The sequence below is a fragment of the Homo sapiens genome, chromosome 1, assembly GCF_000001405.40.
Source record: "Homo sapiens chromosome 1, GRCh38.p14 Primary Assembly".
Classification (NCBI taxonomy): Eukaryota; Metazoa; Chordata; class Mammalia; order Primates; family Hominidae; genus Homo; species Homo sapiens.
The window spans coordinates 7,022,363-7,036,495 of NC_000001.11; the positions used below are offsets into that span (position 1 = coordinate 7,022,363).

At 42.4% G+C, this 14,133-nt stretch overlaps 1 protein-coding gene across 25 annotated transcripts in view, besides 1 other annotated feature; it reads left to right on the forward strand.

Annotated features, from left to right (window-relative positions):
• The window catches only part of CAMTA1 (calmodulin binding transcription activator 1), a 984,253-nt gene that overhangs the window by 236,909 nt on the left and 733,211 nt on the right, over positions 1–14,133 (forward strand). The gene's annotated exons all lie outside the window — the stretch shown is intronic.
• Positions 3,578–4,777: an enhancer, noted in NCBI's record as "P300/CBP strongly-dependent group 1 enhancer chr1:7086000-7087199 (GRCh37/hg19 assembly coordinates)". NCBI's record gives its function as "activates an origin of replication core promoter dependent on BRD2, BRD4, P300/CBP, MED14 and CDK7 cofactors, with strong dependence on P300/CBP, by STARR-seq in HCT116 cells {active_cell/tissue: HCT116}" and the evidence as "EXISTENCE:reporter gene assay evidence [ECO:0000049][PMID:35650434]".

Sequence of the window (14,133 nt, forward strand, 5' to 3'; positions counted from 1 at the left end):
CTGCCGTGGGTATTGGGTGGGCCAGTGGTAGGGGCTAGCTGTGCAATCAAGAGGCTATGAGGAGTGAGGTTTCCTCTTGGATTGGCCTTCTAATTAGTCTAGGATGACATAAAGAAGCCTCTCTTTTAAAAAAAGGCAAATTTGGTCAGTTCTTGGTTTCCAGGGTTTTGGAATGTCCAGGCAAAATTGCCTTGGCACCTTCTGAAATCCTAGAGAGGTAGTGTAGCCCACTTGCTGGGGCTGACTTCTGTTGCCAGCGCCTCACCTCCATCTGATTGCAGGGTATTGGTTGGCCATATGCTTCAGGGATTTGAAGGAGGGTTACCTATGTCTAGGGCTTAACGTGTTCTTGGAGAATATTGGGCAAGAGTATGATTCCCTGAGTCTGGGGGAAGGAGGAGCTCCAGTGGAACTTCCAGTCAAGATGCCAACTATGCATATGTGGGAATCTCTGTTCTCTCACTCTAAACCCATAGAAATGTTGGATTAGTTATAATAGCAACAAAAACATAGCTGAATTCAAAGGTGAGGTTGGGAGATTTCCAGGTGCCGGAAGCCAGGATGAAATTTAGAGTGCAAGTCGAGTGGCCTTACTGGAGTTTCCACAGTAAACCCCTTAAGGGCTGAGGTTTCACAGGCCCCAGGGAGCTGGAACCAAGTTTCTTGTACAAAACTGGGAACAAGAAGGGACTGTCTTTTCTGTCATCAAAAAATAGAAAAATTCTTCCCATTGGCTCAGGAACACGGTATACCCCAGTCCCCCAAGCCGTAGCTTCTAAGAGTTTCCTTCAAGAACGAGGGATACCAAGCCTAAGCTGTATATAGATATGAGACCAAATCCTGCACTATCAATGTGGGCAGAAACTCCGAGCTGAGAACCTAACATAAAATTTGGTCCCGAATTAGTGGTACCCTTAAAGCTGTGTCAGATGTAAGCGTAAAACTTGTTATGGGGGATGATTCCTCAACACAAGGCACACATGAGATTCCCAGGGGAAAAACTGGGGGACTCCCAATGTAGATAAGCCCTTAGGCAAAAATTACAAAGCAGACTAGCAAATTGACCACCACGGGAGATAATCCACAAATGCTGTGAAAGGAGAATTTATGTTTCAGAAACTATAGACAACAGAGCAATCTGAGAAGGCTGTTAGATAGATCAGATATGTGTAAAATGTTTGAAGAGACAAGAAATAAAATCCATAAGACTTGAATAGGAGATAATGGGATGAAACAAGTGGTTTTTTTTAAAAAAAGAATCAGTTATTCTAGAAATAAAACATGTAATAATTGCAATGAAAACAAAACAAGATGCCAAAACCCTTCTAATAGATGGGGATAAACAAAAGAATAGACATATTTGCTAAAGAATGAGTTAGTTAAGGCCAGGTGTGGTGGCTCACGCCTGTAATCCTAGCACTTTGGGAGGCTGAGGTGGGCAGATCACTTGAGGTCAGGAGTTTGAGACCAGCCTGACCAACATGGTGAAACCCTGTCTCTACTAAAAATTCAAAAATTAGCCGGGCATGGTGGCAGGCGCCTGTAATCCCAGCTACTCAGGAGGCTGAGGCAGGAGAATTGCTTGAATCTGGCGGGGTGGAGCTTGCAGTGAGCCAAGATTGCGCCACGGCACTGCAGCCTGGGGGACAGAGCGAGACTCTGTCTCAAAAAAAAAAAAAAAAAGAAAGAAAGAAAGAAAGAAACAAATAGTTAAGCATAAGATGGTCCTGATGAGATCCACCGAACTGTGGTTTAGGGAAGTAAAGGCGGAAAATGTGCACATGAAGGTCCAGCACATATCTAATGGGCATCTCAGAGGAGAAGACAGAGACAACAGGAGGGAGGCATGCTTGAAAGCAATACGGCTGGAGGAATAAAGACAGACGTAAGCCTTCCTACTGAAAATGAACATGGAATTGCAGGTGGAATAAATAAAAGCAAAAATCCATGTGTGGGCACATCAGGGTGAAACTACTGAACACCAGAGATAAAGAGATACCTTAAAAAAACCACCAGGAAAACAGCGACAGTGAGACCTCATTAGTTTGGGTAAATATAAAATGGGGAAAATGCAAGATAGGGGCTGGCCTGCTGTCTGTATTTTAGTATGTCTTCCTAAAGGAATAAATAGGGTAAATAGGATACTTTTGGTTCTTCAGTCTGCAATCAGTCTGCACTAGCAGTGTGATGCTGGCCTTTAAGAACAAAAGCATCTGTGTGTATCTGTTCCAGTGTTTTTGAAGTTATTGTTCACCCGATGTGTTTCTAGGGCCGTGTCTGCTCCATCGACACCTTTCTGGGATGAACCTTCAAACATGGGCTGTGGGCCTGGGATCCCCTCGACAGGTGCTGCCAAGAATGAAAATGTGATCTTTGCAGGGTGCTTACCTCCTATTAATAAGGAAAAAAGCAAACTAAATTAGTCTTGGGAAGTAAAGTGCCATATGAATCAGCTTTCCTCACTCCGAAAATAACTTGCTAAGAATTTATGATCCCCTAAGTTCTGCTGATTTTTTATATTGTTTACTTTCCTCTCCAAAATATCAAATAATTCACAGGTGGTATGTATGGTGGCTGTATGGATAATTTGAAATGAGAAATGGACAGCAAGAGAAATTTCCTTCTAGGGGGTCAGTGCTGGGGTGACTCCCTAAGACTAATGGTGCTGGATTAATAACCTGGGGCTGCTTCAGTATTCATGGCTTGTTCCCTCTGAAGGCTGGGATATTTCCCACTTTTATGTCCTGCACAAAACTGTAAAGCAAAGATGGTTTCATTGCAGCTATGTGCGTAATGAGATGCGCAAGAGCTGCTCTTGCCCATTAATCAGCGTTTGGGGGAGGCTTCTGGAAGCCTGACCTATTGCCGCGGTAGCTGATCTGAATGCAATGATTTTTCCCCTGTGGGAGCCGAGGCTGCAGGACCTGAGAGCTGGCTCTGGCAGCCTGGGGGCCCTGGCCATGAAGTTGTACTGCAGAGAGGAAGGGTGGTCCCATCATCAGGGCGCACAGGCAAATGGCTGGGGTTTCTCAGATGAAAAGGCTGCAGGGCCTTGGAAGGAACCATAGGATATATGGTTTGCAAGAGACCACCTATTTCTGGGGTCCATCTCGCCAGCCCCTCTGGCCTTACTGGGGTGGGGGAGGTAGAGGAGGGTGGATGTAGCTACATTCAACAGGGATTTGAGTGCAACTCTGTGCCAGGCACTGGGCCAGATGCCGGGGAGAGAAAGCTGAATAATTCAGACATTCCCTCTCCCATTAAGGTGCTCTCAAGGGTGTGGGGGGAGGCAAACTGCTGATTTCAATGAACTAGACTGGCGAGGTGGGAGAGATGTGAGCAGCACACAGGTGACTACTACTTACCAGCTTTGGGGATGGAGTGGGGGAAGAGGGGCATTGTGGTTTGAGAAGGCTTCCGGGAGAAGTAATGTCTGAGCTAAATCTAAGGAGTAATTAATATTTGGCCAAGAGTCTGGGTAAAATTGCTCATGCCTGTAATCTCAACACTTCGGGAGGCTGAGGTGAGCAGATTGCTTGAGCCTAGGAGTTAGAGACCAGCCTGGGCAACAACATGGCAAGACCCTGTCTCTACAGAAAATACAAAAGTTAGCTGAGTGTGATGGCGGATGCCTGTGGTCCCAGGTACTTGGGAGGCTGAGGCAGGAGGATTGCTTGAGCCCGGAAGATGGAGGCTGCAGTGAGTTGTGATTGTACCACTGCACTCAAACCTGGGCAACAGAGCGAGACCCTGCCTTAAAAAAAAAAAAAAGAAACAAAAAGATTTGGCCAAGAGCAGGAGAGCAGGCCCATGAAGGTGGAAGTGAGATGTTTATCCCAGCAAGGGACCTGCAAGGGATGAAGCTGGTGGCAGCACAAAGAGCGAGGCGTGAGGCAGGCAGCAGTGAGGCCTGCGGAGCCTGGGTAGTGGATTGCTGCTCAGGCCCTGTGAGAATTCTGACTTCATCATGATATTCCTATATGTCCAGGGGGGGAGTCATCCGTGGCACGGCCTCATGTGTGATTCAGAATGTATTGTGGGAGTGGCAGCCCCGGTGGGAGAAGGGAAATGACTCAGGAGAGCAGGTCTGGATTTCCTGCTACCTGTGGCTCCCCTTGCCAGAATTCTGATATAAACTAAGACTATAAGATTAGTTTCAAAAGGTTTTAGAGACCTTCATGGGGGCTTTCCAATAACAGGAAGATAAGGACCGTGAGGAACATTTCTCTAACTTTAGACCCAGAAACTAAGGGCTGGGAGGATGGGTGGCTGCTTTTTTTTTTTTTTTTTTTTGAGACGGAATCTTTCACCAGGCTGGAGTGCAGTGGCGCGATCTCAGCTCACTGCAACCGCCGCCTCCCAGGTTCAAGCGATTCTTGTGCCTCAGCCTCCCAAGTAGCTGGGACTACAAGCACGTGCCACCACATCCAGCTAATTTTTCTATTTTTAGTAGAGACGGGATTTCATATGTTGGCCAGGATGGTCTCGATCCCCTGACCTCATGATCCACCCACCTCGGCCTCCCAAAGTGGTGGGATTACAGACATGAGCCACTGTGTCCGGCCAGTAGCTGTTTTTACCTTTTCCGGCATGACCTTTTTCTGGCTACTTTAATGTTCCTTCCCAAAAATGTCTTATCTTTATGGTGGTGGCTTTTCTTGAGACGTGGCAGAGTCAGGCCTGGGCTGGACTCCTTCCCTGGGATTCATGTGAACCATGGTTGAAGTCTGTGCTTCAGGGCTCCTCCATCCTTCTTAGATGGCTTGAGAAGAGGGTGGGAAAACAGTTGAAGAAGGGTCAGTGATACAACGTTATCTTTCTCGCCTCTGGAGATAAAGTAGAAAAAAAAGAAATGTCTTCGGTTTGTATTTGGATACACACATCACTCACTAGCTGCTGAGATCCATGATAGCATCATGAATATCAGCATTAAAAGGCTGCTTTGAGGATCAATAGCAATGCTTGCACTGCATTTAAATATCTGCAATTAAGGTCGAAGCCTGAAAACACGACTCCTGGGAGGCCCACGAGACCTGGGGGAAGGGACAAGTTGAACCTTAGTTATATATTTCAATGACCTAGAGATCAATATATGCCAGATCACATTTTCTTTCTTATCTGTTCTTTAAATCTCAATCTTCACTTGGGTCCACATTTTCAGGGTACTCCATCAGCTTGGTGTTTTTGGTGGCAGATGCGGTGACGCCCTGGCTGGTAGTGTTTGAACCTGGCCTAAAGGACATCTGAGTGAGAGTTCAAAAGACGGAAGCATGGCGGGGATATCTGTGCTGATACACAGAGGGGGAAAATTGGCACGACCCCTCATGCAAAGCTGAAAAATGTGGGATAGATTTAGTCTGACAGTGGGCGTGGAGGGAGATTCTAGCAAGTCTTTAATGTGGGATGCAGCCATCTGTCTTCCAGAGTTATGAAGGTTGGGCATGGATACAAAGACCCTTAGACTTTTTATTTGTTCCCTTCAGTAGTAATGCTTAGATGTTCTTTTACTGCCAACCAGAGATATTATTTCTTTTTCTTTTTCTTTTCTTTTTTTTTTTTTGAGACGGAGCTTCACTCTGTTGCCCAGGCTGGAGTGCAATGGTGCAATCTTGGCTCACTGCAACCTCTGCCTCCCAGGTTCAAGCAATTCTGCTGCCTCAGCCTCCCGAGTAGCTGGGACTACAGGCATGTGCCACCATGCCTAGCTAACTTTTGTATTTTTAGTAGAGACGGGGTTTCACCATGTTGGTCAGGCTGGTCTCGAACTCCTGAATTCAGGGGATCCACCCACCTCAGCCTCCCAAAGTGCTGGGATTACAGGCGTGTGCCACTGCCTGAAATATTCTTTAGTATATTTCTCCCTGACACTTTTCTGGGCCCAAGTTTATGGCAGAAACTAAGCCAAGGAGAAAAAGAAAGAGCTGTCAGGCATTTCATTGTCTTAATTGCGGAGCACAGATATTAGTGTCAGTGAGTCTCTGCGTGGTAGAGCTGGTGGTCAGAGTGGACCTAAAGCCAGAAATCACAGCATGAGCCAATGAAACTGCTGAATATACTCAGCCTCTTGGTTTCTCCAACTTCTGAGGCTGTCTCTAGCACAGGTGTCTTCATGAGGTCCCTGGTTGCCCTCTGAAACTATGATTTGATTTCCTGCATGTTCTCCTTCTTGCTGCCGTCCATGAATCCGAGACCTGCTTTCATGGTTATCCTTTCTCCTGATGTTTCTCTGATCATCATAACTCTTGGCTGCCATGCCCCACTCTGGCCTCCCTGGAGCACTGTCCATTCACATGCCCAACCTGTTGAACAGAGGATCCTTGGTATTATTGTGAGTCATTTTCTGACCCCACAGCCCTGCTTTAGAGTATTTCTTTTTGCCTGTCCTTTGCACGTGCTCAGTAAGTGTTTGGACTGTCAGAGGTAGGTGGATAGGCAAAAATCTCTGCACTCATGGTGTTTATATTCTAATGGAGCAGAGAGACAATACGCAAATTGTATATTGTACAAAAATGCGACATGTTGTCAGATAAGTACTAAGAAGGAAAATATAGCAGAGTAAAAAGACAGAGAGTGATATGGCACAATTTCAGAGACATTTGAAAGTGGAAAGTGTTATTGATTTGGAATGAGGTCTAGATTCAAATCCTGATTCCCTTACCCTCTAGGACAACTAACTTAACCCCTATGAGCCTCAGTTTCCTTATCCGTAATATGTAAATCATGTTTATTCTTTAGGGTTGTTAGAGGGTAACAAGGATTATAGTTTGAGTATGGTGCCTGAATATGGGCGTAATGCATGTGAGCCTTCATTGCTCTTATGAGCACCATTATTTTTGTCACTATAAAATCAAGGGCTCGGCTGGGCACGCTGGCTCACGCCTGTAATCCCAGCACTTTGGGAGGCTGAGGCGGGTGGATCACAAGGTCAGGAGATCGAGACCATCCTGGTTAACACAGTGAAACCCCGTCTCTACTAAATATACAAAAAAATTAGCTGGGCGTGGTGGCGGGTGCCTGTAGTCCCAGCTACTTGGGAGGCTGAGGCAGGAGAATGGTGCGAACCCAGGAGGCAGAGCTTGCAGTGAGCTGAGATCAGTGCCTGGGTGACAGAGTGAGACTCTGTCTCAAAAAAAAAAAAAAAAAAAAAAAAAATCAAGGGCTCTACTGGTCAGCTGCATTGAACAGGCTATTCTTTAGCTTGGAATCTTCCAGTGAGTTTGCAAATATCAAGAAATCTCTCTCTCTCTCTCTCTTTTTTGCATAGACTATGAGCAACTCAACTTCTCTAGAACAATGTTTCTTGAACTTTTTGGTCTCAGGACCTCTCTTACACTCCTAAAAGTTATTGAGGAACCCAAAGAGCTTCTGCTCATGAATTACAGCTATACTATTTACTGCATTAGAAATTAAAACTGAGAAATTATTAAAATATGCAAACTTATTAAAATTACAGTAATAAACTCATTTTATGTTAACATAAATAACATATTGTTTAATGAAAAATAACTATACTTTCCAAAAACAAAACAAAATTTAGTGAGAAGGGTAATGTTTAACATTTTTGCAAATTTCTTTAATGTTTGGCTTAATGAAAGACAATTGGATTCTCATATCTGCTTCTGCCTTCAGTCTGTTTTGGTATGTTGAAACAAATGAAGAAATTTAGCTTTACACAGATGCATAATTAGAAAAGGAAGTAGTATTTTAATAGCCATTTCAGAGAATTGTGAATATTTCTCTTTGTTACTATATCAAAACCCTACAAGCGGTACTTTCTTAGATGTTAGTTGCAGCGCAGAATCTGATATATGCTGTCCGCAGAAGCCCACCTTAAATAAAAAGACAAAAATAGTATATTTTTTTGTATACAGTTACATTAAAATCCATTGGCCTATCCTTTTTTCAAGGGGATATATTTTAATGTGGATCTTGGAAAGATCTTTTATCCTGGCATTTTGTCACAGCAGTTGTTTTGAAAATATTGGTTCCCTGAGTTATGCAGATCTTCCACATGTTGACACGTTTTATTATACAATAACCCCCACCCCAAAATGGCTTTGTTATTATCAGTACCAAAGTCCTCAGAAAAGTCTTTACATTTTGCAAGTTGTCAAGTTCACAATGGTGAGCACAAGTTTTTCCCAATTCTAATTCTTACTTAAAAACTCACATTTTATCATTGGCAACAAATATGGTCAGTTGAAGTGATAGTCTGCCCAATACCTGTCTGTTATTATTAATAATTTCTAATTTAATTCCATTGTAGTCAGAGAATATACTGATAAATGAATTCCTTTTTTTGTGAATTCATTTAATTCTTTTAAATTTATTGAGACATATTATGGCTCAGAATATATGTTGGTAAACATTCTGTGTGCATGTGAAAAGAATGTGTATATTGCTGTTAGAATGTTCTACAAATGTCAACTAGGTCAAGTTGGTTGATGGTGTTGTTCAAGTCTTCTACATCCTTAATGTTTTTTTTTTTTTGAGATGGATCCTTGCTCTGTTGCCCAGGCTGGAGTGCAGTGGTGCAATCTCGGCACACTGCAAGCTCCGCCTCCCGGGTTCACGCCATTCTCCTGCCTCAGCCTCCCGAGTAGCTGGGACTACAGGCGCTCGCCACCATGCCCAGCTAATTTTTTTTTTTTTTTTTTTTTTTTTTAGTAGAGACAGGGTTTCACCGTTGTTAGCCAGGATGGTCTTGATCTCCTGACCTCGTGATCCACCTGCCTTGGCCTCCCAAAGTGCTGGGATTCCTTAATGTTTTATGTTTACTTGTTTTATTGATTATTAAGGGAGGGATACGGAAATCTCTAATTACAGTTGTAGATTTGTCTATTTCTTCTTGTATTTCTATCAGTTTTTGCTTCATATATGTTGAAGCTCTGTTGTTTCATAAACATTTGTGACTGTTATGTCCTCATGACTAATTAACTTCTCTATAATTAACTTCTCTATTATGAAATGACTCTTTTTATCTGTAGTAGTATTTTTTGTTCTGAAATCTGCTTTTTGTGATATTAACATAGCCATTGCAAATTTCTTTTTATTAGTGTTGCAATGGTATATCTTCTTCCATTCTTTTAGTTTTAACTTATTTTTGTCTTTTCATTTAAAGTGGGCTTCTGTAGATAACATATAGTTTGGTCTTGCTGTTTAATGCAGTCTTGCAGTCTCTGTCTTTTTTTTCTTGAGACAGACTCTCACTCTGTCACCCAGGCTGGAGTGCAGTGGTGCAATCTTGGTTCACTGCAACCTCCGCCTCCCGGGTTCAAGTGATTCCCCTGCCTGAGCCTCCAGAGTAGCTGGGACTACAGGCGCGTGCCACCATGCCCAGCTAATTTTTTTGTATTTTTTAGTAGAGACGGGGTTTCACTGTGTTAGCCAGGATGGTGTTGATCTCCTGACCTTGTGATCTGCCCACCTTGGCCTCCTGAAGTGCTGGGATTATAGGCATGAGTCACCACGCCCAGCCAATCTCTGTCTTTTATTTGAAGTAGTTAGACCACTTATATTTAATGCAATTATCAATATGGTTAAGTTTCTATTTGTTTTCTGTTTCCCCATCTGTTGTTTGTCCCCCTTTTCTCTTATTTATTTATTTATTTATTTATTTTTGAGATGGAGTCCTGCTCTGTTGCCTGGGCTGAAGTGCAGTGGCATGATCTTGGCTCACTGCAACCTGTATCTCCTGGGTTCAAGAAATTTTCCTCCCTCAGCCTCCTGAGTAGCTGGTATTACAGGCACCCACCACCATGTCTAGCTAATTTTTGCATTTTTAGTAGAGACAGGGTTTCACCATTTGACCAGGCTGGCCTTGAACTCCTGATCTCAAGAAATCCACCTGCCTCGGCCTCCCAGAGTGCTGGGATTATAGGCGTGAGCCACTGCACCCGGCCCCTTTTCTCTTTTTCTGCCTTCTTTTGGATTAACTGAACATTTTTTTATCATTCCATTTTATCTCTTTTGTTGGCTGGCTTATCTATAAATCTTTGTTATTTTACTGCTTGTTTTAGAGTTTTTAGCGTCCATCTTTGACTTATCATAGTCCACTTTCAGGTGATGTTATACCACTTCATGTATAGTATAAGAACCTTATTATAGTATAATTTCATTTCTTCCTCCCCATCTTTTTTTAAATTCTTCTCATACCTTTTACTTATAGATTTGTTATAAACCCTGTGATTTATTATTTTGCTTTAAGTAGTTGTTTATCTTTTTAATAGATTTAAGGAATAAAAAGTCTTTATATATACCCACATCTCTACCATTTCCAGTGCTCTTCATTTCTTTGTGTAGATCCAGATTTCCATCTGCTATTTTTTTCCCTTCTGCCTGAATGAGTTGCTTTAATATTTCTTGTAGTGCATGTCTGCTGGTCATGAATTCTTTCAGTTTTTGTATCTATAAAAAAGTATTTCACTTTTGTTTTTGAAAGATATTTTCAATGGATAAAGAATTCTAGGTTGATAGTTTTTGTTTTTTCTCTTAGCACTTTAAAGAAGTTTCTCTATGTCTTCTGGCTTGCTAGCATAATTTCTGATGAGAAGTCTGCAGTTATTCATATCTTTGTTTTTCTCTGTACAATGCATCCATTTCCTGTGGCTGCTTTTAGGATTTTTTCTTTATCACTGGAGTTAATCAAGATGATTATGATGTGCCGTGGTGTAGTTTTCTTATGTTTCTGGTGCTTGGGGCTCGTTGAGCTACTTGGATATGTGGATTTATAGTTTTATCAAATTTGGAAAATTTTGGCTGTTAGTTTTTCTATTTGTTTCTGTCCCATCTTCTGCATAGGGAACTTTTACATATATTAGACTGCTTAAAGTTGTTGCAGATACTCTATTCAGTTTTTTCTTTTTCCTGTTTCATTTCCTGTCTTTCAGTTCACTAATATTTTCTTTAGTGGTGTCTAATTGTCTGTTAATTACACCCAGTGTGTTTTTCACCTCAGACTGCATCTTAGGTTTTCACTGCAGTTTGCATCTTTAGAAGTTTTACTTGGATCTGTTTAATTCTCCCATATCTCTTTTTAATGTTTAATCTTCATACCCACTAATTTTATCAGTGTATAATTTCTGGTTTGGTTGTGATTGATTTTTCTTCTTATTATGAATCATATTTTCCTGCTTCTTTGTATGCCTGGGAATTTTGTCTTTGATTCCAGACATTATGAATTTATCATATTGGGTACTGTGTACATGTTTATTCTTGTAAATATTCTTTTTTTTTTTTTTTTTTTTTTGATACAGAGTCTCACTCTGTTGCCCAGGCTGGAGTGCTGTGGCGGTGATCTCGGCTCACTGCAACCTCCGCCTCCCGGGTTCAAGCGATTCTCCTGCCTCAGCCTCCTGAGTAGCTGGGATCACAGGTGTATGCCACCATGTCTGGCTAATTTTTGTATTTTCAGTAGAGACGGGGTTTTACCATGTTGGCCAGGCTGGTCTCAAACGCCTGACCCCAAGTGATCCACCCCCTTTGGCCTCCCAAAGTGCTGGGATTACAGGCATGAGCCACCGTGCCCAGCCTATTCTTATAAATATTCTTGAGCATTGTTCTGGAATGTGGTTACATTATTTGGAATTAGTTTAACCCTTTCACATTTCGCTTTTATGCTTTTTTAGGTGGGTACAGAACATCATTGAGTTCAGGGCTGATTTTTTTTACCCACTACTGAGGTAAAACTCTACTGAGTACTCTCCCCTATGCCCCATATATTATGAAGATTTTACTCTTGTTAGCGGAAACAGGCACTATTTCTGGTCCAAGTGTGAGTGACAGTGATTGTTGTTTTGTTTATTTGTTTGTTTGAGACAGAGTCTCGCTCTGTTGCCCAGGCTGGAGTGCAGTGGTGCGATCTTGGCTCACTGCAACCTCCACCTCCCAGGTTTGAGCAATTCTCTGCCTCAGCCTCCCAAGTAGCTGGGATTACAGGTGCCCACCACCACAGCCAGTTAATTTTTGTATTTTTAGCAGAGGGGGCTTTCACCATCTTGGCCGGGCTGGTCTTGAACACCTGACCTTGTGATCCACCCGCCTCGGCCTCCCAAAGTGTTGAGATTACCGGCGTGAGCCACGTGCCCAGCCGATTGTTGTTTTTAATCCTGTTAAAAGGTGTTACAAGGCCTGAGATAGTTTCCTCATACACGTGCACTGATCCATGTCTATTTGACTACTTGAAGCAGCCTCTGCACAGCTCTGGAGTTCTCTGTGTGTCTTTTTCCAACACTCTGCCCTGTGACCTCTGGCTGCCTTGGCCTTCTTACATTCTTAGTTCCTTCTCAACTCAGGAAGATTGCTCGACTTAGGATGCCCTCCTGTGCCATGGTTTGGAAACTCTATAGCAAGAAAGCTGGGGCAGTCCCGGGGCTGACCTCGCCGTTCTTCACTCCCAGATGTCTGATATCTAGAGAACTGATGTTTCATAAATGTTGTCGTTTTTTAGTTATTTTAAGCAGGAGAGGACCTCTAGTCCTTCTTACTCCATCTTGGCCAGAGGCAGAAGCCCTGCCAAATACCTGCATCTAAAGAACCATAGTTTTAAAAAAAATCAGTTGTTTTTTTTAAAATAAAAATTGGCATTCCATGAAAAAAGTTGCTCATTTAGCTTGTAACTCAGTCACACAAATGCTTTTCTTCAAGACAACCATCATACTTTAGATTGCAGCAGAAGTGTTTTAAAAGCACATTAGAAGTGATGGTAAAGACCACAGTTACTTTTGCACCAACCTAAAGAATAAAAGCTGTCATTTTTGGCTGGAGGCGGTGGCTCATACCTGTAATTCCAGCACTTTGGGAGGCTGAGGCAGGTGGATCACCTGAGGTCAGGAGTTTGAGACCACCTCATCAACATGGTAAAACCCCATCTCTACTAAATGCAAAAAATAAGCCGGGTGTGGTGGCACGCGCCTGTAATCTCAGCTACTTGGGAGGCTGAGGCAGGAGAATCATTTGAACCTGGAAGGCAGAGGTTGCAGTGAGCCGAGATTGCGCCATTGCACTCCAGCCTGGGCAACAAGAGCGAAACTCGGTCTCAAAAAAAAAAAAATCTTATTTTGATTGCTTCATTAAGGAATTCTAAAGTAAAACTGGCAAAGCGTGTGTGCATGTGTGTGTGTTTTTCTGTAAGCACATGGCAATGAAGAATATGTGATTACCAGTACAGTTGGTTGCTACTACCTTGATTTGTGGTGAGGCCCCAGCAGTTTTACCCACGGTTGCTTTTGCTCCAGCAGTGCAAATGCCAATACAGTGAAAAAGGCAAATCAATTCTTGGTGTTTTACAAAAATGGTTCTGACCTCTCTGTCTCCCAAAAGGATCTCTTAAGGATGCCCGAAGGGTCTGCAGACCATATTTGGAGAACTGCTACTCTACAGACAGCCTTGTATCTGTGTACAGAGACATGAGCAAGAATGTTCTGTGTTAACAACGTTTACACTAATAGAAATTCGGAAACAATTTAAAGTTCATCAGTAGTAGAAGGGGCAAATAAATTGCAGTATTCTTATATAATGAAATAGTATATAGCAGTTGAAATGAATAAGCTAAGGCTGTGTGTATATATGTATAAAGATCAAAATTCAGTGGGGAAAAAAACAAGTTGCAAAAAGAAATGTACAGCACGGTACCATTTATATAAGCTTAAAACGTAAAAAATATTTGTTGTTTATGGACGCCTACGTATATAGTAAATAAAAACTAAATGGAAGATAGCAGCTGCCTCTGAGAGGGAGGGAGGAGAATGAGATGGGCAGGTACAGAGTAGCTGCAGTTATATCTGTAATTCTTTTTTATTTCTAAAAAATAAATTGGAGGATATCTAGTGAATTTTTATGACAGAAAATACGATTGGTTGGCACGCAGGTTTTTATTAGATTATCCTCTATAGGTTTTGGAAAGCTTGAAGTCTTCCATAATCATCATCATCATCACTGAGAAATAGAGAAGAAGAGAGAATGTGTGAACACATGATGGATTCTCAGTTCTACGTGAAAACTGCTAAATGAATACTAGTTGGCGAGCCCACCACGATTATTATCATAGTGCTAACAGCTGCCATTATGGAGAGGGTGCGATCAGCCAGGGACCTCACCTAGTTTCATATTCAGCTTTATTATCACCTATGAAGT